General features: G+C 55.8%; 2 protein-coding genes and 1 long non-coding RNA gene across 3 annotated transcripts in view, besides 21 other annotated features; 2 read left to right on the top strand and 1 right to left on the bottom strand.

Annotated features, from left to right (window-relative positions):
- Positions 64-2,194, bottom strand: GADD45B (growth arrest and DNA damage inducible beta). The gene is made up of 4 exons (NM_015675.4): positions 1,919-2,194; positions 1,691-1,792; positions 1,070-1,292; positions 64-833 (listed from the first exon to the last, which is right to left on the bottom strand). Exons 1-4 carry the CDS (start codon positions 1,960-1,962, stop codon positions 720-722), a joined length of 483 nt encoding a protein of 160 aa, NP_056490.2. The 5' UTR covers positions 1,963-2,194; the 3' UTR covers positions 64-719.
- Positions 804-873: an enhancer, noted in NCBI's record as "active region_13692". NCBI's record gives its function as "activates an Ori minimal core promoter by ATAC-STARR-seq in GM12878 lymphoblastoid cells {active_cell/tissue: GM12878}" and the evidence as "EXISTENCE:reporter gene assay evidence [ECO:0000049][PMID:35858748]".
- Positions 894-953: an enhancer, noted in NCBI's record as "active region_13691". NCBI's record gives its function as "activates an Ori minimal core promoter by ATAC-STARR-seq in GM12878 lymphoblastoid cells {active_cell/tissue: GM12878}" and the evidence as "EXISTENCE:reporter gene assay evidence [ECO:0000049][PMID:35858748]".
- Positions 945-1,534: an enhancer, noted in NCBI's record as "H3K27ac-H3K4me1 hESC enhancer chr19:2476785-2477374 (GRCh37/hg19 assembly coordinates)". NCBI's record gives its function as "activates a minimal SCP1, AML or CMV promoter by ChIP-STARR-seq in primed H9 embryonic stem cells {active_cell/tissue: H9 hESC(primed)}" and the evidence as "EXISTENCE:reporter gene assay evidence [ECO:0000049][PMID:30033119]".
- Positions 945-1,553: a biological region, named in NCBI's record as "H3K27ac-H3K4me1 hESC enhancer GRCh37_chr19:2476785-2477374".
- Positions 1,024-1,183: an enhancer, noted in NCBI's record as "active region_13690". NCBI's record gives its function as "activates an Ori minimal core promoter by ATAC-STARR-seq in GM12878 lymphoblastoid cells {active_cell/tissue: GM12878}" and the evidence as "EXISTENCE:reporter gene assay evidence [ECO:0000049][PMID:35858748]".
- Positions 1,194-1,303: an enhancer, noted in NCBI's record as "active region_13689". NCBI's record gives its function as "activates an Ori minimal core promoter by ATAC-STARR-seq in GM12878 lymphoblastoid cells {active_cell/tissue: GM12878}" and the evidence as "EXISTENCE:reporter gene assay evidence [ECO:0000049][PMID:35858748]".
- Positions 1,464-1,553: an enhancer, noted in NCBI's record as "active region_13688". NCBI's record gives its function as "activates an Ori minimal core promoter by ATAC-STARR-seq in GM12878 lymphoblastoid cells {active_cell/tissue: GM12878}" and the evidence as "EXISTENCE:reporter gene assay evidence [ECO:0000049][PMID:35858748]".
- Positions 1,535-2,122: an enhancer, noted in NCBI's record as "H3K27ac-H3K4me1 hESC enhancer chr19:2476197-2476784 (GRCh37/hg19 assembly coordinates)". NCBI's record gives its function as "activates a minimal SCP1, AML or CMV promoter by ChIP-STARR-seq in naive H9 embryonic stem cells {active_cell/tissue: H9 hESC(naive)}" and the evidence as "EXISTENCE:reporter gene assay evidence [ECO:0000049][PMID:30033119]".
- Positions 2,124-2,193: an enhancer, noted in NCBI's record as "active region_13687". NCBI's record gives its function as "activates an Ori minimal core promoter by ATAC-STARR-seq in GM12878 lymphoblastoid cells {active_cell/tissue: GM12878}" and the evidence as "EXISTENCE:reporter gene assay evidence [ECO:0000049][PMID:35858748]".
- Positions 2,934-3,043: a silencer, noted in NCBI's record as "silent region_9795". NCBI's record gives its function as "represses an Ori minimal core promoter by ATAC-STARR-seq in GM12878 lymphoblastoid cells {active_cell/tissue: GM12878}" and the evidence as "EXISTENCE:reporter gene assay evidence [ECO:0000049][PMID:35858748]".
- Positions 3,414-3,553: a silencer, noted in NCBI's record as "silent region_9794". NCBI's record gives its function as "represses an Ori minimal core promoter by ATAC-STARR-seq in GM12878 lymphoblastoid cells {active_cell/tissue: GM12878}" and the evidence as "EXISTENCE:reporter gene assay evidence [ECO:0000049][PMID:35858748]".
- Positions 8,671-8,770: an enhancer, noted in NCBI's record as "active region_13686". NCBI's record gives its function as "activates an Ori minimal core promoter by ATAC-STARR-seq in GM12878 lymphoblastoid cells {active_cell/tissue: GM12878}" and the evidence as "EXISTENCE:reporter gene assay evidence [ECO:0000049][PMID:35858748]".
- Positions 15,880-15,949: a silencer, noted in NCBI's record as "silent region_9793". NCBI's record gives its function as "represses an Ori minimal core promoter by ATAC-STARR-seq in GM12878 lymphoblastoid cells {active_cell/tissue: GM12878}" and the evidence as "EXISTENCE:reporter gene assay evidence [ECO:0000049][PMID:35858748]".
- LINC01775 (long intergenic non-protein coding RNA 1775) lies at positions 16,136-19,384 on the top strand. The gene is made up of 2 exons (NR_134931.1): positions 16,136-16,340; positions 19,221-19,384. It is a non-coding gene; the product is annotated as a long intergenic non-protein coding RNA 1775 (long non-coding RNA).
- Positions 21,264-21,443: a silencer, noted in NCBI's record as "silent region_9792". NCBI's record gives its function as "represses an Ori minimal core promoter by ATAC-STARR-seq in GM12878 lymphoblastoid cells {active_cell/tissue: GM12878}" and the evidence as "EXISTENCE:reporter gene assay evidence [ECO:0000049][PMID:35858748]".
- The window catches only part of LMNB2 (lamin B2), a 28,794-nt gene continuing 22,334 nt past the window's right edge, over positions 21,362-27,821 (top strand). Inside the window, exon 1 of the mRNA NM_032737.4 lies at positions 21,362-21,651. Coding sequence (NP_116126.3) covers positions 21,388-21,651 — 264 coding nt within the window. The 5' untranslated portion in view covers positions 21,362-21,387. The remainder of the gene's footprint in view (positions 21,652-27,821) is intronic.
- Positions 21,564-21,813: a silencer, noted in NCBI's record as "silent region_9791". NCBI's record gives its function as "represses an Ori minimal core promoter by ATAC-STARR-seq in GM12878 lymphoblastoid cells {active_cell/tissue: GM12878}" and the evidence as "EXISTENCE:reporter gene assay evidence [ECO:0000049][PMID:35858748]".
- Positions 21,874-21,963: a silencer, noted in NCBI's record as "silent region_9790". NCBI's record gives its function as "represses an Ori minimal core promoter by ATAC-STARR-seq in GM12878 lymphoblastoid cells {active_cell/tissue: GM12878}" and the evidence as "EXISTENCE:reporter gene assay evidence [ECO:0000049][PMID:35858748]".
- Positions 22,194-22,373: a silencer, noted in NCBI's record as "silent region_9789". NCBI's record gives its function as "represses an Ori minimal core promoter by ATAC-STARR-seq in GM12878 lymphoblastoid cells {active_cell/tissue: GM12878}" and the evidence as "EXISTENCE:reporter gene assay evidence [ECO:0000049][PMID:35858748]".
- Positions 22,634-23,342: an enhancer, noted in NCBI's record as "H3K4me1 hESC enhancer chr19:2454977-2455685 (GRCh37/hg19 assembly coordinates)". NCBI's record gives its function as "activates a minimal SCP1, AML or CMV promoter by ChIP-STARR-seq in primed H9 embryonic stem cells {active_cell/tissue: H9 hESC(primed)}" and the evidence as "EXISTENCE:reporter gene assay evidence [ECO:0000049][PMID:30033119]".
- Positions 23,343-24,053: an enhancer, noted in NCBI's record as "H3K4me1 hESC enhancer chr19:2454266-2454976 (GRCh37/hg19 assembly coordinates)". NCBI's record gives its function as "activates a minimal SCP1, AML or CMV promoter by ChIP-STARR-seq in primed H9 embryonic stem cells {active_cell/tissue: H9 hESC(primed)}" and the evidence as "EXISTENCE:reporter gene assay evidence [ECO:0000049][PMID:30033119]".
- Positions 24,110-24,724: an enhancer, noted in NCBI's record as "H3K27ac-H3K4me1 hESC enhancer chr19:2453595-2454209 (GRCh37/hg19 assembly coordinates)". NCBI's record gives its function as "activates a minimal SCP1, AML or CMV promoter by ChIP-STARR-seq in primed H9 embryonic stem cells {active_cell/tissue: H9 hESC(primed)}" and the evidence as "EXISTENCE:reporter gene assay evidence [ECO:0000049][PMID:30033119]".
- Positions 24,725-25,339: an enhancer, noted in NCBI's record as "H3K27ac-H3K4me1 hESC enhancer chr19:2452980-2453594 (GRCh37/hg19 assembly coordinates)". NCBI's record gives its function as "activates a minimal SCP1, AML or CMV promoter by ChIP-STARR-seq in naive H9 embryonic stem cells {active_cell/tissue: H9 hESC(naive)}" and the evidence as "EXISTENCE:reporter gene assay evidence [ECO:0000049][PMID:30033119]".

Here is a 27,821-nt window from a genome sequence, read left to right as displayed (position 1 = left end):
GTGTCCCCGGGGAGGGGGCAGGGGTCCTAGTTGTTCTAGAAGCCGAAAACATACAAGCAACCAGAGGCTTTAGAAATTTATTACAAGGCCCTCATAGTAGAAATAAAAATATAGATATCTATGCTTCCCATCTCGCTCTCAGTGGTTCGAATAACAAGTGCAAGTAACAAAATAGATTGTCTCTATAATTCGCAAACTGGGAGTTCATGGGTACAGAGCAACTTCAGCCCCAGCTCCCAAGTCCCAAAGTGTGGTCTTGTCGAGGGTGCAGACAAGGACCAACCAAGTTCAACCAAGTCTCTCGTATGCAGACGCCAGCTCCAGTCTCAAGGAGGGTGGGGCTTGCAGTCAGTCTCACTCCACCCCCGAGTGGACAGTCTGGACCCTCCGTGATGGGGAAGGCGGCAGCGTGCCCCGCCACTCCGGCTTCTGCTCCATCCCAAGGCCTCAGCTTCGGGGGTCCTGTCTCCTGCTGGCCTGGGTCCCCCCTTCTCCATCGGATCGGCGGCCGCCAGCTCCTGGATCTCCGCCCTGGGGGCGGCCGCTCACTCCCCTTCTCCTCCTCCTCTTCCTCTTCAGTCTCCAACGACTCTGCCCCCGATGGTCCTCGTGGGTTGGGTTGTTTTGGGGGGGTTGTGCTGGGGGGGAGGGGGTTCAAATATTTATTGTATTTTTTGTTTGTGGCAGCAACTCAACAGATTCTGCTGCTGGGAAGGGCCTCAGCGTTCCTGAAGAGAGATGTAGGGGACCCACTGGTTGTTGCCCCGGCTTTCTTCGCAGTAGCTGGCCACCTCCACCAAGCCGTGGCTCTTCCAGGCGTCCGTGTGAGGGTTCTGTAGGAGGGAAAAGAAGGGGTTTAGTGGAGCCTCCCTCTCCCGGGGCCCCTGTGTGGGGAAAACAGTCAGGCTCAAAATAGCTTCCTGGGTGAGGAGGCCCCAGCCCGGCTGCCCACGGGACATGCCAAACGTGGCTGAGCGCTGAGCTGTGCAGGACCAGTCAGCCCGACTTTGTTGACAAACACCGGCCCAGGTGCCCGGGCGTGGCGGGGCAGGGCAGAGGCCCGACTCACCGTGACCAGGAGACAATGCAGGTCTCGGGCCTCGGTGGTGCCCTGGGTCTCGGCCGGCTCTCCCAGGAGCTGCGCCAGGCGCTGCATGCCCGACACCCGCACGATGTTGATGTCGTTGTCACAGCAGAAGGACTGGATGAGCGTGAAGTGGATTTGCAGGGCGATGTCATCCTCCTCCTCCTCGTCAATGGCCAAGAGGCAGAGGACCACGCTGTCTGGGTCCCTGAGGGGGCCAAAGGGTAGGGATGGGTCAGCCGGGGACAGGGGAGGGGCCACCGTGCAGGGGGAGTTTGCAAAAAAGGAGCGTGCAAGAGCAAAAGAGAAACTGCAAGGGTGCAGGGGATTGCCTCTGCAAGCTGGTGACGGTGGGGGGAGGGGAGGGCACACGGTTCAAAGTATGGGGTAGGGGGAGACAGGCCCACGGCGGGAGGGGTGTTTGCAGACGATACATCAGGATACGGCAGCCCCCGATCCACAAAACGGCAGAGAAGCTCTGCATCCACAGCGGGGGGCACTTGGGGAAGTCCCAGCTCCATGCAAGACAAGCGTGCGGAAAGCGTCCAGAGCGGAGGGGAGGTCCCGTCCCACCCGCGCCCAGCCCGGGAAGGGGGTCTGACTCACACATTCATCAACTTGGCCGACTCGTACACCCCCACTGTGAGGCGATCCTGGCGCTGAGCGGCCACCAAAAGCTCCTCCACCGCGGCGGTCACCGTCTGCATCCTGAGACCAGGAAAGAGGGATCAGTGACGGGCGGACCACCGGGTGCTACGTTCCGCTCCCGGCCCGGCCCAACCCGACCCATCCCGTCCCGGCTGACCTCAGGCGGCGGCAGCCCCGGCTACTTACTTCTGCGCCGCGTTGTCGCACGCCACGAGCTCTTCCAGCGTCATGTTGCAATTATAATCCACAGTGGATGCGGCTCCACGGCAGTCCCCAGGGAGAAATTGCAAAATCCGAGCCAGAGAGCCCAAAACCTTCCCACAGAGCTAGAGCGCTCGTCCAAGACCTTCGGGAAGCAGCGAAATCCTTCCAGAAAAGGCGGAAAAATATATTGCAAAGTCCTTGGCGAGGATAATCCAGGAAGTTGCGGAAACCAACGGTAGTCCGACGCTTCGGCGATCTGAGCTGGGAGCCTCCGGCACCGACTTTTATAGACTTGAACATTGGGCGTGGCCTCAGTGGAGTCATTCGCCCCTCCTATTGGTGGAAAGACAAGGGCGAGTGCAGCTAGCTCTGCGGTTGGCCGACGGAGGGGAGGGGGAGGAGCGGCGTGCGGGGGCGCCCCACGTGGGGGCGAGAACCGGGAGGAGGGCGCGCGGGGGCCGGGTAGGTGACCGCGAATGCCAGAAAAGAAAAAAAAGCAGAAGTTTTTTTCTCCTGATTTCCCGGCAGCCGAGCCGCGGTTCGGGGCGCGCGCGGGATTTCCAGCGCGCGAGGCGGCCCGGACTTTCGGGGGGGCCTGGAATCCCCTCCCGATCCGCGGAGAGTCCCGGACCGCGCCTTTCCCAAGTTCTGCTGGGGGTGGAGGGGCTGCACCGGGAAGGGGCCCCGTTTGCAGCGTGATCTCGCCCAGGTGGTGGTGAGGGCCGGAGTCTCTCCTGGCTGCGACGACCCCAGCCCCTGGGTGATTTCGCTTCTCCCGGCCTCTCTGTTCCCGTCTGAGTAATGGGTCTGCAGCGCCGGCCTCGCTGGTTTGCAGAGCATGGCATAAAATACGGCTGACAGTAAGAGCCCAATACACATCAGCTGTCACCTGGTGGTCGCGGGAGGCCTCCTCGAGGGCCCCGAAAGTGGGAGGTTGCAAAGCCCGGGGCGCTCTGGAGAAGAAAGTGGGCGCCTCCTCGCCGACCCCGCGAGTATCAGGGTGGGGTGCGCGTGGGAGGTGCAGGTGGCGCGGCCCCGCCCCCGCCGGCTGCCTGGCGTTCCAGCCTTTGCCCGTGCGGAGGCCTCCAGGCCCTGGAGAAAGCCATTGTTGAGGGGAATGGTGCAGGCTCCGGCTGCACGCCGCCACCCAGGGCCCACGTGCAAGGATGACGGCTACTTTTATTTCTCACTCCGGGGTGGGCGCTGACCTGCATTGAGTGCGTGGTGCGGACCTGGTACCCCCCACCCCTCCGGATTCATGGATGATTTAATCCAAGACCTGGGAAGCAGGGGGGATGCTTATGTGCATTATGCAAAAGGGGAAACTGAGGCTTGGTGAGGCCATAGGCTAGTTCGTGTTGGAGCCACGCGTGTGCGCCAGGCACGGCCGCCTGCAGGACTCCGCCGCCCCGGGAAGGCTGTTCAGGAGCGAGGCTGGCAGGCCCCGCATGACAACGTCTCCCACGGTCGACTGGGGGCTCCCGGGTGACTCACATCTGAGTCCCCTCCCCCGCCAGCCTGGGGTCTGGCCTCCGCCCGGCGGCTCACTTTCCCCAGTTGCCCGGCTCCCCGGCCCGCGGGTCCGGCTGACGCATCCCACCTCCTCCGCGCCGCCCACCGCTGGGGCACGAAATGTCCCGGGGCTGCGAGGCGCGGTGGCGCCATCTGGTGGCCGCGCCGAGTTTCTGCGCCCTCAGCGCCGGAAGAGAGGGACGGACGGGCGGGGCACTGGGCTGGAGGCGGGGGATAAGGGGACCGTGGCGGTTGCAACGTTTTATGTAACTTTATGCAATGTTTTACGCATGCAACATACATATTTATATTTTATAATTTCAATTTAAAAGTTAAATCGGCCGGGCGCGGTGGCTTACGCCTGTAATCCCAGCACTTTGGGAGTCCGAGGCGGGCGGATCAACTGAGGTCAGGAGTTCGAGACCAACCTGACCAACATGGCCAACATGAGCTGAAGATAAGGAAGATCAGGGAGGTGGGTGGGATAAGTGCAAAGTCAGATTCTGTCTTTATTTACAATTTTGATATTTTGTTCCTCATGGATACTTGGGCATTGATTTTGATTTTTAAAAAGTATTGCAGGCTGGGTAATCCCAGCACATTAGGAGGCTGAGGCGGGCAGATCGTGAGGTCAGTTCGAGACCAGCCTGACCAACATGGTGAAACCCTGTCTCTACTAAAAACACAAAAATTAGCTGGGCGTGGTGGCACGCGCCTGTAATCCCAGCTTACTCAGGAGGCTGAGGCAGGAGTATCACTTGAACCCAGGAGGTGGAGGTTGCAGTGAGCCGAGATCATGCCACTGCACATGGCATGGTGACAGAGAGAGACTCCATCCTCCCCAAAACAAACAAACAAACAAACAAACAAACAAAAAGGCCGGGCACGGTAGCTCACTCCTGTAATCCCAGCACTTGGGGAGTCTGAGGCAGGAGGATCACCTGAGGCTGGGAATTCAAGACCAGCCTGACCAACCTGGAGAAACCCCATCTCTACTAAAAATACAAAATCAGTCGGGCGTGGTGGCACATGCCTGTAATCCCAGCTACTCTGGGGGCTGAGGCAGGAGAATTGCTTGAACTTGGGAGGCAGAGGTTGCAGTAAGCCGAGATTGCAGTGAGCCGAGATCGTGCCACTGCACTCCAGCCTGAGTGACAGAGTGAGACTCAGTCTTTAAAAAAAAAAAAAAGAAAGAAAGAATGGGGTGTGTTGTGTGCACCCAGCTACTCCGGAGGCTGAGACAGGAGGATCACTTGAGCCCAGGGGTTCCTGGCTGCAGTGAGCCGGGATTGCACAGTTGCATTCCAGCCTGGGCAACAGAGTGAGACCCCGTCTCAAATAAATAAATAAAATAAGGGCTGGGCACGGTGGCTCATGCCTGTAATCCCAGCACTTTGGGAGGCTGAGGCAGGTGGATCATCTGGGGTCAGGAGTTCAAAACCAACCTGGCCAACATGGTGAAACCCCGTCTCTACAAAAAATACAAAAATTACCTGGGCATGGTGGCACATGCCTATAATCCCAGCTACTCGGGAGGCTGAGGCAGGAGAATCGCTTGAACCCGGGAGGTGGAGGTTGCAGTGAGCCGAGATTGCACCACTGCATTCCAGCCTGGGAGACAGAGCGAGACACTGTGTCAAAAATAAAGCAAATAAAATAAATAAAATAAGGCGAGCAAAGCAGGGCCTCAGAGAATATGTGTCCAAGTCCTTCTTCCGTGTGTCCCCCGTGCCAGCCATAACAACCTCCTCTGCGAGAGGCCCAGCCTTTGTCAGCTGTTTCCTCCGCCTGGGATGCTGTCTTCCTCTGGTCTTCAGCAGGAAAACCCTACTCCTCTGTCAACACTGACTTGGCCTTGTTTTCTCCCAGACTGACTGCCTGGACCCCCATGGTCCTCCACCCTCCAGGCTTCTCTTTCTAGACCCCAAGCCCACCTGTGCCTCCTTTTTCCAGCCCTGGCTCCAGGCATCTTAGAATATCTGGAGTATCTTGGAATATCTTCAAGAGACTCTGAGCTCTGTGCCTTTGAGCTCAGAAAATGAGCTCCAGCCGGGCCAGGCGTGGTGGCTCATGCCTGTAATCCCAGCATGTTGGGAGGCCGAGGCGGGTGGATCACCCGAGGTCAGGAGTTCAAGACCAGCCTGGCCAGCATGGTGAAACTCCATCTCTACTAAAAATATAAAAATTAGCCAGGCATGGTGGCGCATGCCTGTAGTCCCAGCTACTCAGGAGGCTGAGGCAGGAGAATCGCTTGAACTCGGGAGGTGGAGGTTGCAATGAGCCGAGATCGTGCCACTGCACTCCAGCCTGGACAACAAGAGTGAGACTCTTTCTCAAAAAAAAAAAAAAAAAGAAAATGAGCTCCAGCCTCAGTTTCTTTCTCTGTAAGATGGGAACAGTCACACAAAGGCTTCATCACAGGCATTGAAGGAGGAAATTCCCAGAATCAGGTAAGCACTCAGGAAATGTGTGCTATTATCTTTGGGCTGGGCGCCAGAACTCACCTCTGTAATCCCAGCACTTTTGGAGGCCGAGGCAGGAGGATTGCTTGAGCCCAGGAGTTTGAGACCAGCCTGGGCAACATAGGGAGACCCCATCTCTACAAAAATTTTAAAAATTAGCCGACCGTGGTGGTGCGCACCTGTAGTCCCAGCTACGTGAGAGGCTGAGGTGGGAGGATCACTTGAGCCTGGGAGTTTGAGGCTGCAGTGAGCTATGATTGTGTCGCTGCACTCCAGCCTGGGCAACAGAGGGAGACCCTGTGTCTAAAAATAAAATAAAATAAAAAATGAGATCAATAACAGTGTCGCCGAGGCCATCTTGGAGCCTGAGGTGAGAGGAATAATCAGTATGAGTAATCCTGTCATAATCTTTTTTTTTTTTTTTTTTTTTAGACAGAATCTCGCTCTGTCACCCAGACTGGAGTGCAGTGGCGCAATCTCAGCTCACTGCAACCTCCACCTCCTGGGTTCAAGTGACTCTCCTGCCTCAGCTTCTCAAGTAGCTAGGACTACAGGCGCCCTCCACCACACCTAGCTAATTTTTTGTATTTTTAGTAGAGACAGGGTTTTGCCATGTTGGCCAGGCTGATCTCGAACTCCTGACCTCAAATGATCTGCCTGCCTCGGCCTCCCAAAGTGTTGGAATTACAGGCGTGAGTCACCGTATTTGGCTTTAAACAAAATAAATTTTTAAAATTTTATCCAGCATAGAGGTTTTTGCATTCATTCAGAGTTAAAAAAAAAATGTGGCCGGGTGTGGTGGCTCACGCCTGTAATCCCAGCACTTTGGGAGGCTGAGGTGGGCAGATCACGAGGTCAGGAGATCGAGACCATCCCAGCTAACACAGTGAAACCCTGTCTCTACTAAAAATACAAAAAATTAGCCGGGCGTGGTGGCGGGCGCCTGTAGTGCCAGCTACTCAGGAGGCTGAGGCAGGAGAATGGTGTGAACCCAGGAGGTGGAGCTTGCAGTGAACCGAGATCGCGCTACTGCACTCCAGCCTGGGTGACAGAGCAAGACTCCATCTCAAAAAAATAAGTAAATAAAAATAAAAAATAAAAAAACGTACTGCAGGCTGGGCACGGTGTTGCGGGGGGGCTTTGAAGTGATTAGGGTCAGATGAGCTCATGAGAGTGGAGTCTTCTAATGAGATTAGTTCCTTTCTCTTTTTCTTTTTTGAGACAAGGTCTCCCTGTATTGCCCAGGCTGGAGTGCAGTGGTGTGATCATGACTTCGTGCAGCCTCTGTCTCTAAGGGTAGACTCATGCCTGTAATCTCAGCCCCTTGGGGGCCAAGTGGGGAGGATCGCTTGAGCTCAGGAGTTCGAGACCAGCCTGGGCAACCTGGCAAGACTCCCATCTCTACAAATAATTTTTTTTTTGAGACGGAGTCTCGCTCTGTCACCCAGGCTCTGTCACCCAGGAGTGCAGTGGTGTGATCTCGGCTACTGCAAGCTCCGCCTCCCAGGTTCACGCCATTCTCCTGCCTCAGCCTCCAGAGTAGCTGGGACTACAGGCGCCCGCCACCTCGCCCGGCTAATTGTTTGTATTTTTAGTAGAGATGGGGTTTCACCGTGTTAGCCAGGATGGTCTCGATCTCCTGACCTCGTGATCCGCCCACCTCGGCCTCCCAAAATGCTGGGATTACAGGTGTTACCCACCACGCCTGGCCTTTTTTTTTTTTTTTTTTTTTGAGACGAAGTCTCTCTCTGTCTCCCAGGCTGGAGTGCAGTGGCACAATCTCAGCTCACTGCAACCTCTGCCTCCCGAGTTCAAGTGATTCTTCTGCCTCAGCCTCCCAAGTAGCTGGGATTACACTGCGCCCGGCTAATTTTTAGTAGAGATGGGGTTTCACATCTTGGCCAGGTTGGTTTCGTACTCCTGACCTCATGATCCACCCGCCTCGAGTTCCCAAAGTGCTGGGATTACAGGTGTGAGCTACCGCACGCAGCCACAAATAATTTTTTAAAAATTAGCCAGGTCTGATGGGCACACCTGTAGTCCCAACTACTCGGGAGGCTAAAGCAGGAGGATCACTTGAGCCCAGGAGTTTGAGGCTGCAGTGAGCTATGATCGCACCACTGCACTCCAGCCTGGGCGACAAAACAAGGCCCTGCCTCAAAAAGAAAAAAAAAAGTGGGGGCGGGCTGGGTGCAGTGGCTCATGCCTGTGATCCCAGCACTTTGGAAGGCCAAGGAGGGCAGATCACTTGAGGTCAGGAGTTCGAGACTAGCCCGGACAACATGGCGAAACCCCGTCTCTACTAAAAATACAAAAAGTTGGCCAGGCGTGGTGGCAGATGCCTGTAATCCCAGCTACTCAGGAGGCCGAGTCAGGAGACTCACTTGAGCCTGGGAGGTAGACATTGCAGTGAGCCGAGATCATGCCACTGCACCCCACCTGGACAACAGAGCAGGACTCTGTCTCAAAAAAAAAAAACGGTAAAAAGTCAGGTTCAAGGGGCTCTGGGGGCAGAGGTCCCAGGCAGCAGGCACAGTGTTTGAAAAGGCCCTGACGCAGGACCTCACCTGTTGCATTTGAGGAATCCCAAGGAGGCCCTGGGGGTGGAACAGAGTAAGCAAGAGGGAGAGCCGGGAAGATGAGCTCACAGAGACGGGCTTTGGGGGCTGCGGGGAGGGGTCTGCGTGTCACTCCGGATGTAGCCAGGAAGTGATTGGCAGCGGCTGGGCTCTGACATCATGTTTTTCTGCAAAGATGAACAAAACGAGCAAGACATGACTCCTGTCCCCAAGGAGAGGTTTCGGGATGGAGCTGAGTCATCATTTGAACTTGCAGACATTTGTAAGACAGGCCTGGGGTGGGAGGAGGTGGGATCACCACGCCAGGTGGCAGCGGAGGCTACGGCGAAGGCTGAGGCACATTTGGGAAATTCTGAGGACAGTGGCAGGGGAGGGGCAGGGAAACTGTGCACAGCAAGAGGCTGGCAGGTCTGGGACTATGCCTCGCAGAGAGAGGGAGAAGGAGAGGCTCTGTCTGAGGTCACGTTTGCCTGGTTCAAATCCCACCTGCAGCCGTCATCAGCTGTGTGTCCTTGGGTTGGTGGCTTAGCCTCCCTGAAACTCCCTCTTTTCATGGGAAAAGTCAGGTTGTGGAAATGTTTACCCAAAACAAGGACCTAGAATGGGCTTGGCATAGAAAGTGCTCCGTACACCTCCCCTACTGTAGTGACCTCGAAAGCCACTCGAATGCCGGACGCGGTGACTCACACCTGTAATCCCAACACTTTGGGAGGCCAAGGCGAATGGATCACTTGAGGTCAGGAGTTCGAGACCAGCCTGGCCCACATGGTGAAACCCCCTCTCTCCTAAAAATGCAAAAATTAGCTGGGTGTGGCGGAAGGCGCCTGTAATCCCAGCTACTCCGAGAGGCTGAGGCACGAGAATCGCTTGAACCCGGGAGACGGAGCTTGCAGTGAGCTGAGATCGCACCACTGCACTCCAGCCTGGGAGACAGAGTGAGACTCTGACTCTGTCTCAAAAAAAAAAAAAAAACAGAACGGTATATCCATCAGGCAGGACATTCCTGGGGCCTAAGAGTCACCTCCCAGTGGCTGAAACAAAAGCCAGATCTCTCTCTGGTCGAGGCAAAATTTCTTGCTACACAATGGACAGGAATCATTCGCCTTGCACTGAGTATTTTACAACTTACACACTTGCTCACAGACATCGGAACAGCTGGAACCCCCGGCAGCAGGCATTGCAGACAATGCTAGCATGGTGGGCAGCTTCGGGCCTGGCTCCAGTGATCCCCCAGGGTGGTTAATTTTTTTTTTTTTTTTTTTCTTAGAGATGGGCTTCGCTCTATTGCCCAGGCTTGAATGCAGTGACATCGCAGCTCACTGCAGCCTTGAACTCCTGACTTAAGGAATCTTCCCATCTCAGCCTCCCAAATAGCTGGGATTGCAGGCATGGGCCACCACACCCCGCTATGCAGGGGTTCTTCCTGCCCACTGCATAAAGAAAGACCACGTGACTGGGTGCAGGGGCTCACGCCTGTAATCCCAGCACTTTGGGAGGCCAAAGTGGGAGGATTCCTTGAGTCCAGGAGTTTGAGACCAGCCTGGGCAACATAGGGAGACCCCCAGTCTAACAAAGTATTTTACTTAAAAAAAAAAAAAAAATAGAGGCTGGGCGCGGTGGTTCACACCTGTAATCCCAGCACTTTGGGAGGCCGAGGTGGGCAGATCACCTGAGGTCGGGAGTTCGAGACCAGCCTGGCCAACATGGAGAAACCCCGTCTCTACTAAAAATACAAAATTAGCCGAGCATAGTGGTGGCGGGCGCCTGTAATCCCAGCTATTCGGGAGGCTGAGGCAGGAGAATCGCTTGAACCCGGGAGGCGGAGATTGCAGTGAGCTGAGATTGAGCCACTGCACTCCAGCCTGGGCAACAGGGTGAGACTGTCTCAAAAAAAAAAAAAAGAAAAGAAAGGAAACAACGAAAGAGAAAGAGACCACAGCATTGTAGTAGAGAAAGAGTTTAATAGACATGAGGCTGGCCACGCCACGTGGGAGATGGAATTCATAAATCAACTTGTTCAAACCTCATAGGTTAGAGGTTTTTCTTTATTGCGACGAGTCTCGCTCTGTCACCAAGGCTGGGGTGCAGTGGCGCCACCTCAGCTCACTGCAACCTCTGCCTCCTGGGTTCAAGCAATTCGCAACCTCTGCCTCCTGGGTTCAGGAGGTTCTCCCGCCTCAGCCTTCTGAATAGCTGGGATTACAGGTGCACGCCACCACATCCAGCTAATTTTTTTTTTTTTTTTTTTGGTGGAGATGGAGTTTCACCATGTTGGCCAAGCTGGTCTCGAACTCCTAACCTCAGGTGATCCGTTCACCTCAGCCTCCCAAAGTGCTGAGATTCCAGGCGTGAGCCTCCACGCCCAGCCTAGGTTAGGGGTTTTTCAAGGGCAGTTTTGTGGGAAGGAGTGGGAGTGGGCCAGGTAAACAGGTGCTTGCTGCTGGTTGGTTGGGGGCAGAGATGGACTCACAGCAGGTTGCAGGGGTCCTCCTGCCGGCCAGATCGCTTCTGTGTGGAACCTCAGGAGCAGGGTTGTCAGTCCAGGTGGAGCCACGGGTGTCAGACATGCAAAACACGTGGAAAGACATCTCAAAAGGCCAAACTACAATAATGGTGTTATTTGCAGGAGTAATTGGGGGAACCACATCTCTTTTTTTTTGTTTTTTTTTTGTTTTTTTTTTGTTTTTTTGCATGCTGAGTTTCGCTTTGTCGCCCAGGCTGGAGTGCAGTGGTGAGATCTCGGCTCACTGCAACCTCTGCCTCCCAGGTTCAAGCGATTCTCCTGCCTCAGCCTCCCAAGTATTTGGGACTACAGGCATGGGCTACCAAGCCTGGTTAATTTTTGTATTTTTAGTACAGATGGGGTTGCACCATGTTGGCCAGGCTGGTCTTGAACTCCTGGCCTCAAGTGATCCACCCGCCTTGGCCTCCCAAAGTGCTGGGATTACAGGCGTGAGCCGCCGCACCTGGCCTGGAAGCTGCATATCTTATAACCTCCAGAATAACGTTTGCACCTTAACAGATGTCAGGCTCCCCTCCTCCCTCAACCTGAAGGCCTCAGGTTAGCTTGACAAAAGCTGTTGGGTTTTGTGCAAGGTCTACTATCACTTAAACTGTAGCCTAAATGTCTTCCCAAGTTAGCTGGGCCCAATAGCCCAGGAATAATTAAGGCAAGATGGGGGTTAGTTAGTTTAGCCTACTGTTATAATTTTCTCGGCTGGACGTGGTGGCTCACGCCTGTAATTCCAGCACTTTGGGAGGCCAAGGCGGGCGGATCACGAGGTCATGAGATCGAGACCATCCTGGCCAACATGGTGAAACCCCATCTCTACTAAAAATACAAAACTTAGCTGGGCATGGTGGCGCGTGCCTGTAGTCCCAGCTATTTGGGAGGCTGAGGCAGCAGAATCGCTTGAACCCGGGAGGCGGAGGTTGCAGTGAGCCGAGATTGTGCCACTGCACTCCAGCCTGGGCGACAGAGCGAGACTCCGTCTCAAAAAAAAAAAATTTTTTTTTCTCACTGATAGAACTTTTGCAAAGGCGCTTTCAGCTAATTTTATTTTTTGTAGATATGGGGCCCTGCTCTGTTACCCAGGCTGGTCTTGAACTCCTGGCCTCAAGCGATCCTTCCTCCTTGGCCTCCCAAAGGGCTGGGATCACAGGATGAGCAGCTACTGCACCCGGCTGTATGATGCTTAATTTTTTTTTTTTTTTTTTTTTTTTTGGTGACAGAATCTCAGTCTCAGTCTGTCACCCGGGATGGAGTGCAGTGGTGCAATCTTGGCTCACTGCAACCTCCACCTCATGGGTTCAAGTGATTCTTATGCCTCAACCTCCCCAGTAGCTGGGACTACAGGCACCTACCACCACGCCTGGCTAATTTATGTATTTTTTAGTAGAGACGGGGTTTTGCCATGTTGGCCAGGCTGGTCTTGAACTCCTGACCTCAAGTGATCCACCAGCCTCAGCCTCCCAAAGTGCTGGGATTACAGGCGTGAGCCACCGCGCCCCGCCCGGTGGTTAATTTTATATGCCATCATGGCTGGGCTGTGGGTGCCTGCATATTTGGTCAAACATTACTCTGTGCATGCCGGTGAGGGGGTTATTAGATGAGATGAGCCTTTGACCCTTTGCATCAGTAGACTCACTGAGTCACTCAAACCCACTACCCTCCCTAGCACGGGTGGGCCTTGCGGAATTCACTGAAGGCCCGGATGGAATACAGAGGCTGCCACTCCCCTGGGGAGCAGAGAATTCCTCCCACCTGAAGGCCTTCAGACTGGAACATCAGCTTTTTCCTGTCTTCAGACTCAAACAGAAAGATCAGCTCTCAGCCGGGCATGGTGGCTCACGCCTGTAATCCCAGCATTTTGGGAGGCAGGAGACTTGAGGTCAGGAGTTTGAGACCAGCCTTTCCAACATGGTGAAACCCTGTCTCTACTAAAAATACAAAAATTAGCCGGGCGTGATGGCGCATGCCTGTAATCCCAGCTACTCGGGAGGCTAAGGGGGGAGGATCATTTGAGCCCAGGAGGCAGAGGTTGCAGTGAGCCGAGATCATGCCACTGCTCTCCAGCTGGGGCAACAGAGCGAAGCTCCATCTCAAAAAAAATAAAAATAAAAAGGAACATCGGCTCTCTTGGGTCTCCAGCTTGCAGACTTCAGATGTTGTGACTTGTCAGCCCCCGTGCATCAATACCTTATAATAAATCTCTTGGCCGAGTGTGGTGGCTCACGCCTGTAATCCCAGCACTTTGGGAGGCCAAGGCAGGCGGATCACCTGAAGTCGGAAGTTCAAGACCAGCCTAATCAACATGGAGAAACCCCATCTCTACTAGAAATACAAAATTAGCCAGGTGTGGTGGCGCATGCCTGTAATCCCAGCTACTGGGGAGGCTGAGGCAGGAGAATCGCTTGAACCCGGGAAGCAGAGATTGTGGTGAGCCGAGATTGCATCATTGCACTCCAGCCTGGGCAACAAGAGCAAAACTCTGTCTCAAAAAAAAAAAAAAAATCTCTTATTCTCTCTCCCCTCCTGCTGGTTCTGTTTCTCTGGAGAACCCTGACTAATTCACCCCCAGCTCCTCCTGATGAACGGAGGCAGGCCCTGGACAGCAGTGGGCCAGGATTTGAGGCTCTTGGTCTAACAGTCTGCAAGGAACAGAATCCTTCTGACCACGTGTGAGTGAGTCTAGAAGTGGACTCTGCCCCAGAGACACCTTGGTTGCCACCTTTCAGAGCCCTGAGACAGAGGATGCCAAAGTTAAGCCACATCTGGATTCCTGACCCACAGAAACTGTGAGATAAGAAAAGTGAATATAAGCTGGGCACGGTGGCTCATGCCGGTAATTCCAGCACTCTGGGAGGCCAAGGCAGGCAGATGACTTGAGCCAAGGAGTTTGAGACCAGCCTGGGCAACATAGCGAGACCCTGTCTTGCCCTTTTCTAAGAGGCCCACCTCTACCCCTACTCCACACATGCCCCAGCATTTACCCCACTTTCTTTCTTCCTCATGCTCACCATCCTCTAGCATGCCATACAATTCACTTATTTATTTATTTATTTATTTATTTTTGAGACAGAGTCTCACTCCATCACCCAGGCTGGAGTGCAGTGGCATAATCTCGGCTCACTGCAACCTCCGCCTCCCGAGTTCAAGCAATTCTCGTGCCTCAGCCTCCTAAGTAGCTGAAATTACAAGCGTGCTCCCTCATGCCCGGCTAATTTTTGTATTTTTAATAGAGATAGGGTTTCACTGTGTTGGCTGGGCTGGTCTCAAACTCTTGGCTTCAGGTGATCTGCCCGCCTCGGCCTCCCAAAGTGTTGGGATTACAGGTGTGAGCCACCAAGCCCAGCCCTATTTATTTATTTTTGAGACAGGGTCTTACTCTTGTCACCCAGGCTGGAGGGCAGTGACTCAATCTCTGCTCACTGCAGCCTCTACCTTCTGGGCTCAAGTGATCCTCCCACCTGAGCCTCCCAAGTAGCTGGGACTGCAGGCATGAGTCACCACGCCTAGCTAATTTTTGTATATTTTGTAGAGATGGGCTTTCACTATGTTGTCCAGGCTGGTCTCGAACTCCTGGCCTCAAGCAATCCTTCTGCCTCGGCCTCTCTAAATGCTGGGATAGCAGGTGTGAACCACTGCGCCCTACCTAATTCACTTATTTATAATGTGTACTCGCTTCCCCTCTGTCCCCCCAGTGCCTGCCACAAAGTAGAAGCCACGCAAATATGTGTTGATTTCACTGTTCCATTCACTCATTTAACAGGCAGCTGCCAGCCACGGCCCCAGAGCTCTGCTTGCCTCCCGGATTTCTGTTGGGGTCACAAGGTTCCAACTCCAGGGTCCTGAATTCTGATCTTAGATACCAGGTTTGGCCTTCAAGTTCTGGAATCTATGTTCCAGAATTCGGCTTCCCAAGACCCACAGCCCAGAATCCAGGCTCCAGAATTCAGGCTCCCCGAGATCCAGGCTTCAGAATCCGAGCTCCCTCAGACCCAAGCTCCGAATCCGGGCTCCCTGAGATCCAGGTTCCGGAATCCGGGCTCCTGGAGATCCAGGCTCCGGAATCCGAGCTCCCTCAGATCCAGGTTCCGGAATCCGGGCTCCCCGAGATCCAGGCTCCGGAATCCGAGCTCCCTCAGAACCAGGCTCTGGAATCCGGGCTCCTCCAGATCCAGGTTCCGGAATCCGGGCTCCAGGCTCGCATTCCGGGCTGGGAGCCAGCCACAGCCGTTAGGCTGAGATTTTTAAAATCTGGCGCCAAAATCCACTCCCCGGGTGGGAGTGGCGGTGCCGGGTGGAGGTCAGTGGAATGGACGGGTCGGGACTGGGGCCCTCACGGGCTGCATAGTCCCAGGGTCCGGGATTTCTCTCCCGCGGCCCCGTACCCTCTCCCCAAAAGCAGACAGCAGTTGGTCACTAACTTTCTTTTCTTTTCTTTTCTTTTTTTTTTTTTCAGACGAAGGTTCGCTTTTGTAGCCCGGGCTGGAGTGCAATGGCGCGATCTTGGCTCACTGCAACCTCCGCCTCCTGGGTTCAAGCGATTCTCCTGCCTCAGCCTTCCGAGTAGCTGGGGTCACAGGCGCCTGCCACCACGCCCGGCTAATTTTTTTTTTTTTTTTTTTAAGTGGAGACGGGGTTTCGCCATGGTGGTCATTCTGGTCTCGCACTCCTGACCTCAGGTGATCCGCCCGCCTCGGACTCCCAAAGTTGGGATTACAGGCGTGAGCCACCGCGCCCAGCCAATTGGTCACTAATTTCTAGCTCCCGGGGGAAAGAGGGTCCCGCGTTCGAATCCCGCCTCCGCTACGCCCCTGGTGCGGATTCCCCGACCGGTCCCTAACCTTCCTGTGCCTCAGTTTTCCATAATGGAAATGGGCCCGGAGCCCCCTGGCGCGTGTGGTGCCTTGGGAGGCCCCTCGGAATGGACGGGGCAGCTTTGCGGGATGCCCCAGACCTCGGGCTCTGGGCGCAGCTGCCAGCAGCAGCCTGGGCGTGGGTGCCCCCGGGGGGACCACGGTCTCAGCTGTCACCGCCCCTCCCGTTCGGCGCCAAAATTTGAAAATTGCCCAGCGCCTCCCAAACTGCGCGCTGGGAGGGGGAAAGCCCCGGGCCCCACCCACGGGAAGCGCGGGGCTTTCTGGGACTTGGAGTCCAGTCCCTGGGGGTCCCGCGGGGATGGCTCTGGGCACCCGAAGCCCCTCCCCAGCGCCGAGACAGGAGGGCTGGGGTAGATTCGAGACCCCGGTTTGCAGAGCGCAAGACTGAGGCCCAGGGCCGCGCAGTCAGGCAGGAAACGGCGCTCCTGGCGGATGGAACAGCACGGGCAAAGGCTGGGTATGGGGGTATGTGGGGATGGAAGTGCCCAGAGGGGCAGCGCGATGGGGTTGGGGGCGGGACCCCGCAGGGCCTCCAGTAAGGGGCTAGTTGGGGGATCTGGTCAGCCAGTGGCCAAGGCCGGTGGTCAGTGAGAAGTTGATGCGGAGCGGGGGGGCGGTTTCAGATCAGTCTGAGGGTGGAGAATAGGAAAAGTGACCCGGCCGGGCGTGGTGGCTCATACCAGTAATCCCAGCACTTTGGGAGGCCGAGGCTGGCAGATCACCTGAGATCAGGAGTTCGAGACCAGCCTGGTCCAACATGGTGAAACCCCGTCTCTACTAAAAACACAAAAATTAGCCGGGCGTTGTGGCACATGCCTGTAGTCCCAGCTACTCAGGAGGCTCAGGCAGGAGAATCACAAGAACCCAGGAGGCGGAGGTTGCAGAGAGCTGAGATCGTGCACTTCAGCCTGGGCTACAGAGCAAGACTCTGTCTCAAAAAAAAAAAAAAGTGACCCCATTTCCCACCCAAACCTCAATCATCCTTCTCCCCTCTGGCCCCGCCTCCTGTAGTATTATTTATTTCCCATTGTGCTTTACCATCTGTCTTTATATTTTATATTCCTCCCTTTATGAGGAAGGAAAACAGTATCAGTCCTCTAAATACGCAGTCACTGCTTAGCTCCCTCTTGCCTGGCTGGTTTATTTGTTGTTTGTTTTGAGAAAGAGTCTTGCAGCTGGGCACGGTGTCTCACGCCTGTAATCCCAGCACTTTGCAGGGCCGAGGTGGGCGGATCATTTGAGGTCAGGAGTTCAAGACCAGCCTGGCCAACATGGTGAAACCCCGTCTCTAGCAAAAATTAGCTGGGCCGTAGTGGCGCACGCCTGTAATCCCAGCTACTCGGGAGGCTGAGGCAGGAGAATCACTTGACCCTGGGAGGTGGAGGTTGTAGTAAGCCGAGATCAAGCCACTGCACTGCAATCTGGGTGACAGGGTGAGACCCTGTCCCCCCTGCCAAAAAAAAAAAAAAAGAGAGAGAGAGTCTTGCGCTGTCATCCAGGCTGGAGTGAAATGGTGCAATCATAGCTCACTGCAGCCTCCACCTCCTGGGCTTAAGCCATCTCCTTGACTCGGCCTCCCAAGTAGCTGGGGATACAGATGCACGCCACCACGACCAACTAATTAAAAAAATTTTTTTGTAGGGGCCGGGTGCAGTGGCTCACACCTGTAATCCCAGCACTTTGCGAAACCGAGGTGAGCAGATCACTTGAGGTCCAGAGTTCAAGACCAGCCTGGCCAACATGAGGAAACTCTACAAAAATACAAAAATTAGCCAGGCATGGTGGCGCATGCCTGTCATCCCAGCTACTCAGGAGGCTGAGGCAGGAGAATCTCTTGAACCCAGGAGGAGGAGGTTGCAGTGAGCCAAGATTGGGCCACTGCACTCCAGCCTGGGGGACAGAAAGACTCTGTCTCCAAAAAAAAAAAAAAAAAAAAAACTGTAGAGTATTGTAGAGTTGGGTCTTGCTATGTTGCCCAGGCTGGTCTCAAACTCCTGGGCTCAAGCCATTTTCTTGTCTCAGCCTCCCAGAGTGGCTGGGATTGCAGGTGTGAGCCACCATGCCAGGCTTCCTGCCTGGGTTCTAAGGCTGGGGGTCTATCTGGTAAGAGGGGAATAATAGCGAGTGAATGTTGGCTGTTGGAGGCAGGTGGGCTCTTTCCCCTGGTGTCCTCAGTAGGCTGGAAAGGGCATTAGATTCTCAGTGTGTGATTTACTGGGGTCTCTGGCAGAGGCTGAGCCAAACCCCCAAGGTGAGATGTGTAAAAAGGAGGAGTTCCCCAGGCAGAAGGAAGACCGGGCCAGTTCTAGGTCAGGAGGAAGTTATTCTCCAATTGGGGCAATTTTGCCCCTCTGGTGACATGTGGCAATCTCTGGAGACATACTTGGTTTTCATAACTAGGGGGCCGGGGTCGGACGCGGTGGCTGACGCCTGTAATCCCAGCAACGTGGGAGGCCAAGGCGGGCAGATCATTTGAGGTCAGGAGTTCAAGACCAGCCTGGCCAACATGGCAAAACCCTGTCTCTACTAAAAATACAGAAACTTAGCCGGGCATGGTGGCAAGTGCCTGTAATCCCAGCTACTCGGGAGAGTGAGGCAGGAGAATCGCTGGAACCCGGGAGGCGGAGGTTGCAATGAGCCGAGATCACGCCACTGCACTGCAGCCTGGGCCACAGAGCGAGACCCGCCTCAACTAAAAATAAAAATAAAATAAAAAATAAGTATGAGGCTGGGATGCTCGTGGCATGGAGTGGGTGGAGACCGAGGATGCTGCTCAATACCCTGTAATGGACAGCACCTCCTGACTCCAACCCCCTGCAACAGAGAGTGATCTGGCCCCAAATATCTAGTGCAGAGTTGGAGAAACACTGCTGTATAGGTTGTCTTGTTAAATTACAATTTTGGGGGGTTTTTTTTGGAGACGGAGTCTTGCTCTGTCGCCCAGGCTGGAGTGCAGTGGTGTGATCTCAGCTCACTGCAACCTTTGCCTCCTGGGTTCAAGCGATTCTCGTGCCTCAGCCTCCCAAGTAGCTGGGATTACAGGCGTACACCACCACGCCTGGCTAATTTTTGTACTTTTTGGAGAGACAGGTTTTTGCCATTTTGGCCAGGCTGGTCTCGAACTCCTGGCCTCAGGTGGTCTGCCCGCCTCGGCCTCCCAAAGTGCTGAGATTACAGGCATGAGCCACCGCGCCTGGCCTTGTTAAATAAAATGTATGGCAGGCCATTGTTTTAGACAATGGGGTCTCTAGTCCCCAGCAGACCAGATAAAATTGGAATGGAGTCACTAGTGCCAGGTACCACGTAGTCAAACTGATCTTTTATTTTTTTTATTTTTTGAAATAGGGTCTCGCTCCGTTGCCCACACTGGAGTGCAGTGGCGCAATCATGGCTGACTGCAGACTTGAACTCCTGGATGCAAGCCATTCTCCTGCCTCAGCCTCCCGAGGAGCTGGGACTACAGGTGTGTGCCAGCACATGTGGCTAATTATTAAAAATTTTTTTGGCTGGGTGCCGTGGCTCACGCCTGTAACTGCAGCACTTTGGGAGGTCGAGGTGGGTGGATCACGAGGTCAGGAGTTCAGGACCAGCCTGGCCAAGATGGTGAAACCAGGTCTCTACTAAAAATACAAACATTAGCTGGGCATGGTGGCGGGTGCCTGTAATCCCAGCTACTCGGGAGGCAGAGAATTGCTTGAACCCAGGAGGTGGAGGTTGCAGTGAGCCGAGATCATGCCATTGCACTCCAGCCTGGGTGACAAGAGCAAGACTCTGTCTCCAAAAAAAAAAAATTTTTTTTTTTGGAGACAGAGTCTCACTATGTTGCCCAGGATGTTCTCAAACTCCTAGGCTTAAGCGATCTCCCCATCTCAGCCTCCCAAAGTGCTGAGATTACAGGTGAGAGCCACCCGTACCTGGCCTCAAACTGAACTTTAAAGGGTGCAGGTTTTCAAAAAAAAACATTCACAGCCACCAAGCCAAAGGGGACCGGTTAACCTGATAGGGAAGTACCCTCAAAATAGAGGGGGTTAAAACAGACCCTATGAAAAAAGTAACTTTGAAACAACCAATTGGTTTTTATTTCGTATTTTTATTTTTACTTTTTTTGAGACAAACTCTCACTCTGTCACCCAGGCTGGAATGCAGTGATGTGATCAGGGCTCACTGCAACCTTGACCTCTCTTGCTCAAACAATCCTGCCACCTTAGCCTCCCAAATACCTAGGACTATAGGCGCCCAGCTAATTTTTTTTTTTTTTTTTTTTTGAGGTGGAGTCTTACTCTGTTGCCTAGGCTGGAGTGCAGTGGTTCAATCTTGGCTCCCTGCAACCTCCGCCTCCCGGGTTAAAGCAATTCTCCTGCCTCAGCTTCCCGAGTAGCTGAGACTACAGGCATGTGCCACCATGCCTGGCTAATTTTTGTATTTTTAGTAGAGACGGGATTTCACCATATTGGTCAGGCTGGTCTCGAACTCCTGACCTCATGATCTGCCCGGCTTGGCCTCCTAAAGTGCTGGGAATACAGGTGTGAGCCACTGCACCTGGCTAATTTTTTTATTTTTATTTTTAGAAATGGGGTCTTGCTATGTTGCCCAGGCCAGTCTCAAACTCCTGGGCTCAGGCTATCCTCCCACCTCCGCCTCCCAAAGTGCTGGCATTACAGGCGTGAGCAAACCACTGTACCTGGCCTGGCTTTTATTTTAATTCTTATTTCTCCTTTCTTCAGCCTTTTCTGCCTGTAATGCAGAATGCCCATCCTCTCTGCTCAGCTCATTGGAGTGCCTATTTAATAGATTGAATGCTATCCAATTCATGAATTGCTAATAAGAGCCAATGAGATCATTAAACTCAATTTGTTGAAATTCATACTCCTTGACAGCCTCTTCTGGACATTTTATATCAGTGGCATTGTACACTATATGGCTTTTTTTTTTTTTTTTTTTTTTTTTTGAGACAAAGTTTCTCATTGTTGCCCAGGCTGGAGTGCAGTGCCGCGATCTTGGCTTACTGCAACCTCCACGTCCCAAGTTCAAGAGATTCTCCTGCCTCAGCCTCCCAAGTAGCTGGGATTACCGGCGCGCGCCTCCGTAGTAGAGATGGTGTGGGGGGGTCTCCCTATGTGGTCCAGGCTGATCTCGAAATTCTTTTCTCAAGTGATCCACCGGCCTTGGCCTCCCAAAGTGCTGGGATTACAGGCGTGAGCCACCACGCCCGGCCCTATATGGCCTTTTGTGTCTGGTTCTTTGAACACGTTTTGAGGTTCTCTAAGTGGGGAAACAGGTACTAGAAAGCAACCCAACGCTGTTTCCTCGTGGCGGAGCTGGGAGTTTGCAGCCAGGAAGTCTGTCTCTGGAGTCAGCGCCTCTGCGAAGCGAGAGCTGGACGGAGACTTCAACTTCCGGCGTGCCCCGCGCGCGCCCGGCGGTCGGACTACCAGTCCCAGGCTGCCCCGCCGCGGCGGGCGGCGGGCGCGGCGCGGCGCGGCGCCATCTTGCAGCCGGCGGCGCGGATTGAATGAGCCCGCCGAGCCCGGGCCGCCGTCGGGAGCAGCGCAGGCCGCGAGCCGCCGCCACCATGGCCACGCCGCTGCCCGGCCGCGCGGGCGGGCCCGCCACGCCGCTGTCGCCCACGCGCCTGTCGCGGCTGCAGGAGAAGGAGGAGCTGCGCGAGCTCAACGACCGCCTGGCGCACTACATCGACCGCGTCCGCGCGCTGGAGCTGGAGAACGACCGGCTCCTGCTCAAGATCTCAGAGAAGGAGGAGGTGACCACGCGCGAGGTGGGCGCCGGGGCTTAGGGGCCGGGCGGGGGTGCAGCCGGCAGGCCCCGCCCACCGCGGGGCGCGCGATCGCGGGGACCCTGGGCGGGGGTGCAGACGGGGACGGGCCCCGGCTTCGGGGGTTTCCGCGGGGTTTCGGGGGGCCCCTGAGTGAGGGGTGCAGCTCGGCCAGGTCCCTCCCACCGCGGGGTGGGCAATCGCTGGGACCCTGGGTGCAGACAGGGACGGGCCCGGGTCTCGAGGGTCTCCAGGGGGTTTCGAGGGGCCCCTGAGTGAGCGGTGCAGTTCGGCCAGGCCCCGCCCACCGCGGGGTGCGTGATCGCGGGGACCCTGGGCGGGGGTGCAGACGGGGACAGGCTCCGGCTCGGGGGTCTCCAGGAGGTTTGGGGGCTTCTGAGTGAGGGGTGCTGCTCGGCTAGGCCCAGCCCACTGCGGGGCTCCCAGTCGCGGGGAACCCTGAGCTGGGATGCAGACGGGGACAGTCCGGCCTCGGGGATCTCCGCCGCGTTTCGGAGAGTCCCTGAGTGAAAGGTGCTACTCGGCCAGGCCCCGCCCACCACGGGGCGCGCGATCGCGGGGGACTCTGAACGACTCCCGGCTTGGGGTCTCCAGGGGGTTTGCGGGGGGCTCCTGGATGAAGGGTGCAGGTCCTGGCCACCGCGGGGTGCGCGATCGCGGGGACCCTGGGCAGGGGTGCAGACCGGGAAGGGTCCCGGCTTGGGGGTCTCCAGGGGGTTTCAAGGGGTCCCTGAGTGAGGGGTGCAGCTCGGCCAGGCCCAGCCCACCGCGGAGTACGCGATCACGGGGGACCCTGAGCAGGGGTGGGGTCAGCCTGGCCTCGGGGATCTCCAGGGGGAGACCCTGAGTGAGGGGTGCCACCTGGGCAGGCCCTGCCCACCGCAGTTTCCGAGATCTTGGGGGACCCCTTGGGAGGGGTGCAGACCGGAGTGGCCCATTCTCTTGGGGACCTCCAGGGGGTTTCTAGGGCACTGAGTGAAAAGTGCAGACCAGGAATGCCCCACCTATGGAGGGGGTCCCAGGAGATCTTCCGTGTCCTGAGTGAGGGCTGCAGAGGGGCCTCCAGCTAGCTCTGGGGACCCTTCCGTGAGAGGTGCATTTTGGGGCCATGGGGGTTACAGACTAGGGCTCCCCACCAAAGAGAGGTCCTGGGGATTTGGGGGCTCCCTGAGTATTGGGCTGCAGCCCCCCATATGCCTCGTCCCTCAGAGGATTCCAAGGAGACTTGGCGGACCCCCCCCAACTGAGGGGGTGTGAGTGGGAGTCTCTGGGGATGAAGCTGGGTATTGGGGTATCTGGGGTGGAATGGGGGTGGTCTCTGGGCTCCAAGGAGACTGGGGGGCCCAGGCCCTCTGAGGAGGCCCAAGATGGGGTGTGTGGGGGGTCTCCCTGGAGTCTCTGGGGTGAGTCACGTGGTCTCAGTTCTCCCTGGAGCTTTAGCGAGTTCCCTGATGAATCCAGAAGAGATTGGTGACTGGGGTGGGAATTAGGCCCCTCATCTCTCACCAGGCCCAGGGTGGGTAGGGGGCCGAGGGAGAGGTTCTGATACCTTGGGGTCCCACGGGAAATTTGGGAGTCCCTTATTTGTGCCCTGGTGTCAGCGGTGGTCTGGCAGGTTCTGCCCCCAAGAGAATATGAAGGAAGGGTGAGAGTTGGGATCTTGGGTCCGGTGGAAAGTGTTGAGGTTCTGAATGGGCCCCGAGGCTTCAGTGCAGACTGAAGGAGAAGAGGCGGGAAAGTCTGCCCACCAAGGGGACATGAGGTCGGGGTGTCTTGGGGTCTGGGTGCAATCTGTCCTGCCCCCCAACCTAACCCTGGGGAGGCTCTTTGTCCCTCCCACTGGCCATGCCCAATCCAAGGACAGGACTCCAGAACGGGGGGCAGGCAGGAGCACCCACTTGATTCCTGCCATGGGTTGGGGTCCTGGGGTCCCTAGGCCCCAGTGTCCTGTTGGGAGAGCTGGGTGCCGAAGTCGGGATTTGCAGCGCCCAGTCCCCACTCGCCCATCTGGAGATCAGAGGACGTGGTGGGCTTCTGGGAGAAGAGCTGCTTGTTGAGGGGGTCGGGTCATTTCTGGGAGCCACTTACCCTCTGTGTGACCTTGGGCTAGTCGCTTACCCTCTCTGGGTCTCAGTGCCCTCGCCTTTGGAATGGGTGTAATTATAATACCCACCTCTTACTTGTGTGTGGGGCCACAGCAGGTTAACTTTTGTTCAGTAGCTCCCTGTGGGTTGTTTTCACAGTGCCCTGGGGACAGGGAACCTGAAAGAATGTAGCTGGTGCCTTCAGGGAGGTAGAAGGAAGATCAGTGCTTGGTGGGATCCCCTGCTTTTCTTTCTTTTTTTTTTTTTTTTTTTTTGAGATAGAGTCTCGCTCCGTCGTCCAGGCTGGAGTGCAGTGGCGCGATCTTAGCTCCCCGCACCCTCTGCCTCCCGGGTTCAAGTGATTCTCCTGCCCCCGTCTCCCGAGTAGCTGGGATTACAGGTGTTCACCACCATGCCCGGCTCATTTTTGTATTTTTAGTAGAGACAGAGTTTGGCCTTGTTGGTCAGGCTGGTCTCAAACTCCTGGCCTCAGGTGATCTGCCTGCCTCGGCCTCCCAAAGTACTGGGATTACAGGTGTGAGCCGCCGTGCCTGGCCAGTCCCCTGCTTTTCAATTAGTGTGGCTTTGGGCAGGCCCCTGTGTCTCTTGGAGCCTCCATCTTGCCATCTGTCCAGTGCGGAGTTGTCCCAACTTAGAGGCCGCCTGCTGGACCCGTGGCGTGCAGGGTTAGAGCTGGTTTCTTGTCTTTGGGCCTCTGTTATCCCACCTGCCAATGGGACGAACAGCTGCAGGGAGCTTTGAGGGTGCAGGGCCTGGTGAGTGCTGGGGAGGTACCAGCCCCAGCCCCACTGGACGCCCCATTGGACCGGCCCTGTGCCCTAGAGGGAGCCTGGCCCAGCCACCTCTCGGGGCCGCAGCAGCATCCTTTACAACTCAGTTCACTCAGGCTGGGTGAAATGCGGGTCTGACTCCAGTGAAGGCAGCCATTTAGCAGGTGACACACTGGCCCCTCCGTGAGCCCTGTCACCCAGCCGTGTCTGCAGGGCATGTGGCAGGGGACAGCTGGGAGTTCCGCCTGCGACTAGTGGGCCAGGAACCCGGCTAGTGGGGAGCAGAGTTGGAAGCCTGCTGGGGTGGGGGCCGCTGGTGGGGGGACGTCATGTGGGCCCACATGGAGGGAGTGACCTGGAATAGCTGGGGGCCTTCTAGACACAGGTGGGCCACGTGGGGTTCAGAGAGCAGCCTCAGGCTCAGGCTGGCAGGATGGGGGCAGGGGAGGGAGCTCTGAACGAGGAGGGACCTGGGGTGTCAGGCCTAAGAGCATGCAGGTCACCTGGACAGCAGGGCCTCTCTCACCTGGCCAGCTTCTGCCCCCAGGGGACTCTTGGCCAAGGCTGGGCATGCCCTTGGTTGTCACATTGGGAGGGAGACGGCATCGGCACAGCGTGGGTGGAGGCTGGGTACTGCTCAGCGCCCCGAGAAGAGAATCACCTGGCCCCCACGAGGATGACGCAGCCCTCACGAGGATGACCCAGCCCCATGAGGATGACCCAGCCCCCACGAGGATGACCCAGCCCCCACGAGGATGACCCAGCCCCCATTAGGATGACCCAGCCCCCATTAGGATGACCCATCCCCCATTAGGATGACCCAGCCCCCATGAGGATGACGCAGCCCCCATGAGGATGACCCATCCCCCACGAGGATGACGCAGCCTCCATGAGGGTAACACGGCCCCCATGAGAATGGCCAGGCCGAGGAGCCTGCTGGGAGGCGTGAGGGACTCAGTTCAGATTTTTTCAGGCTCATAACACGACTCACAGCATCCTGGTGTGTGGCGGCCCCCGAGGTCCTCACACACGCCTTTCTCACTTCTTTTTTGAGATAGAGTCTCACTCTGTCGCCCAGGCTGGAGTGCAGTGGTGTGATCTCGGCTGACTGCAACCTCTGCCTCCCAGGTTCAAGCAATTCTCCTGCCTCACCCTCCTAAGTAGCTGGGATTACAGGCGTGTACCACCACACCCGGCTAATTTTTGTATTTTTAGTAGAGATGGGATTTCACCATGTTGGCCAGGATGGTCTCTATCTCTTGACCTTGTGATCTGCCCGCCTCAGCTTTCCAAAATGCTGGGATTGCAGGTGTGAGCCAGTATGCCTGGCCTTTTTTTTTTTCTAGACAGAGTCTCTCTCTGTCGCCCAGGCTGGTGTGCAGTGGCGTGATCTTGGCTCACTGCAACCTCTACCTCCTGGGTTCAAGGGCTTCTCGTGCCTCAGCCTTCTGAGTAGCTGGGATTACAGGCGCCCACCACCATGCCCGGCTAACTTGCTCACTTCTTTCCTGCCCGCAGGAGTTCACCCTTGCACACTCGTACAAAACCAGGCCAAGCATGGGTTCCACATTCCCATGTGACACTAGGGGGTGTCTTTTGGCGGTGTGGATGAATCGCCATATACAAGCATCGTTGGAGGGCTTGGGAAAGGGTGGGGTGGGGGCTGGCCAGATGGGTATTTGTTGAAGGAGGATCACTGAGTGCTGGGGGCGGGGGCAGGTGCAGGGAGGCCGCGCTGTGGCCCGTGTCCAGGCGCGGGAGAGGCAGGTACTCCAGGTACTTCCCTGCCAGGCCTTACGTTCCCGAGGGAGGAGACCTGGCTTCGGCATCTTCTGTCTTCCCCTGCCCCGGTGTCCCCTGGCTGCTCAGGGCTGCTGGAGGGGGTCTCGGAGGCGGCCCAGGCGAGCGTGGAGGATGGAGTCCACTTTGGAAGTGACCCCAAGCCGGTGTTTGCATTTTCTGCACAGGGCTGTAGTTCTTAGCCGGGCCATTTTGTCCCACCGTGGCCTCCTCCAGCCGAGTTATGCTGCTCTGTGTGTCCGAGGGGTCCCAGGCAAAGGCCATCTCAGGCTATCTGAGCCCTGCCAGGCCCACATGTGTGGACACACTTGTTGACTTCCCTCAAGCCTAGCACTTGCTAGATGCCGTGAAAGATGAAAGAAAAGGCCCAGCCTGTCCCCAGCCCTTTGCAGCGCCTCACAAGCACAAGGAGGCCGTCCTGCCCCGGCACACCCGTTCCGCAGGCTCAAAGGGTCTTTGTGAGGTGCCCCAGCCTCTAGAACTTTCCTCATCATCACAGCACGGCAGACCAGGCATGGTCAGCAGACTTTTTCTAAAAAAGGCCAGACTGTCTGCATCTGAACCACTCAGCTCTGCCATAGGATGAAAGCTGCCTTAGCCCATAGGTGAATAAGTGGGTGCTGCTATGTGTCAATAAAACTTTATTTATACACATGGAACTGTGAAGTGCATAGAATCTGCCTGTGTCACAAAGTCTCTTCATCTTCCCCCCTGGCCTTTATCGTTTTTGTTTTTGAGACAGTCTCGTTTTCCAGGCTGGAATGCAGTGGCACAATCTCCGCTCACTTCAACCTCTGCCTCCCGGATTCAGGCGATGAAGCGATTCTTGTGCCTCAGCCTCCCCAGTAGCTGGGATCACAGGTTTGCACTGCCACGCCCAGCTAATTTTTGTATTTTTAGCAGAGATGGGGTTTCACCATGCTGGTCAGGCTGGTCTCGAACTCCTGACCTCAGGGGATCTGCCAGCCTCTGCCTCCCAAAGTGCTGGGATTATAGGCATGAGCCACCTCTCCTGGCTACCCCTAGCCATTTAAAAATGTAAAAACCGTCTGGGCGCAGTGGCTCACACCTATAATCCCAGCACTTTGGGAGGCCGAGGTGGGCGGATCACGAGGTCAGGAGATTGAAACCAGCCTGGCCAACATGGTGAAGCCCCGTCTCTACTAAAAATACAAAAATTAGCTGGGCGTGGTGGTGCACGGCTATAGTCCCAGTTACTTGGGAGGCAGGAGAATCGCTTGAACCCGGGAAGCAGAGGTTGCTGTGAGCTCAGATCATGCCACTGCACTCCAGCCTGGGCAACAGAGTCTTGCCCTGTGCTCGCCCAGGCTGGAATGCAATGGTGCAATTTTTGTGTTTTTAGTAGAGATGGGGTTTCACCATGTTGACCAGACTGGTCTTAAATTCCTGACCTCAGGTGATCTGCCCGCCTCAGCCTCCCATCATCTTATGCCAGGTGCGGTGGCTCATGCCTGTA

This window comes from Homo sapiens, chromosome 19 (assembly GCF_000001405.40).
Source record: "Homo sapiens chromosome 19, GRCh38.p14 Primary Assembly".
NCBI classification, from domain to species: Eukaryota; Metazoa; Chordata; class Mammalia; order Primates; family Hominidae; genus Homo; species Homo sapiens.
The sequence above is the reverse complement of the archived record's forward strand: the minus strand, read 5'-3'. Positions and strand labels throughout refer to the sequence as shown.

What these genes read in the sequence shown, in the direction of transcription:
- GADD45B (NM_015675.4), bottom strand. Translation starts at nt 1,962, where the DNA reads ATGACGCTGGAAGAGCTCGTGGCGTGCGACAACGCGGCGCAGAA. An exon ending in TGCGACAACGCGGCGCAGAA is followed by an intron (nt 1,793 to 1,918) that starts GTAAGTAGCCGG and finishes TCCTGGTCTCAG; the next exon opens with GATGCAGACGGTGACCGCCG. An exon ending in TGCATTGTCTCCTGGTCACG is followed by an intron (nt 834 to 1,069) that starts GTGAGTCGGGCC and finishes TCCCTCCTACAG; the next exon opens with AACCCTCACACGGACGCCTG.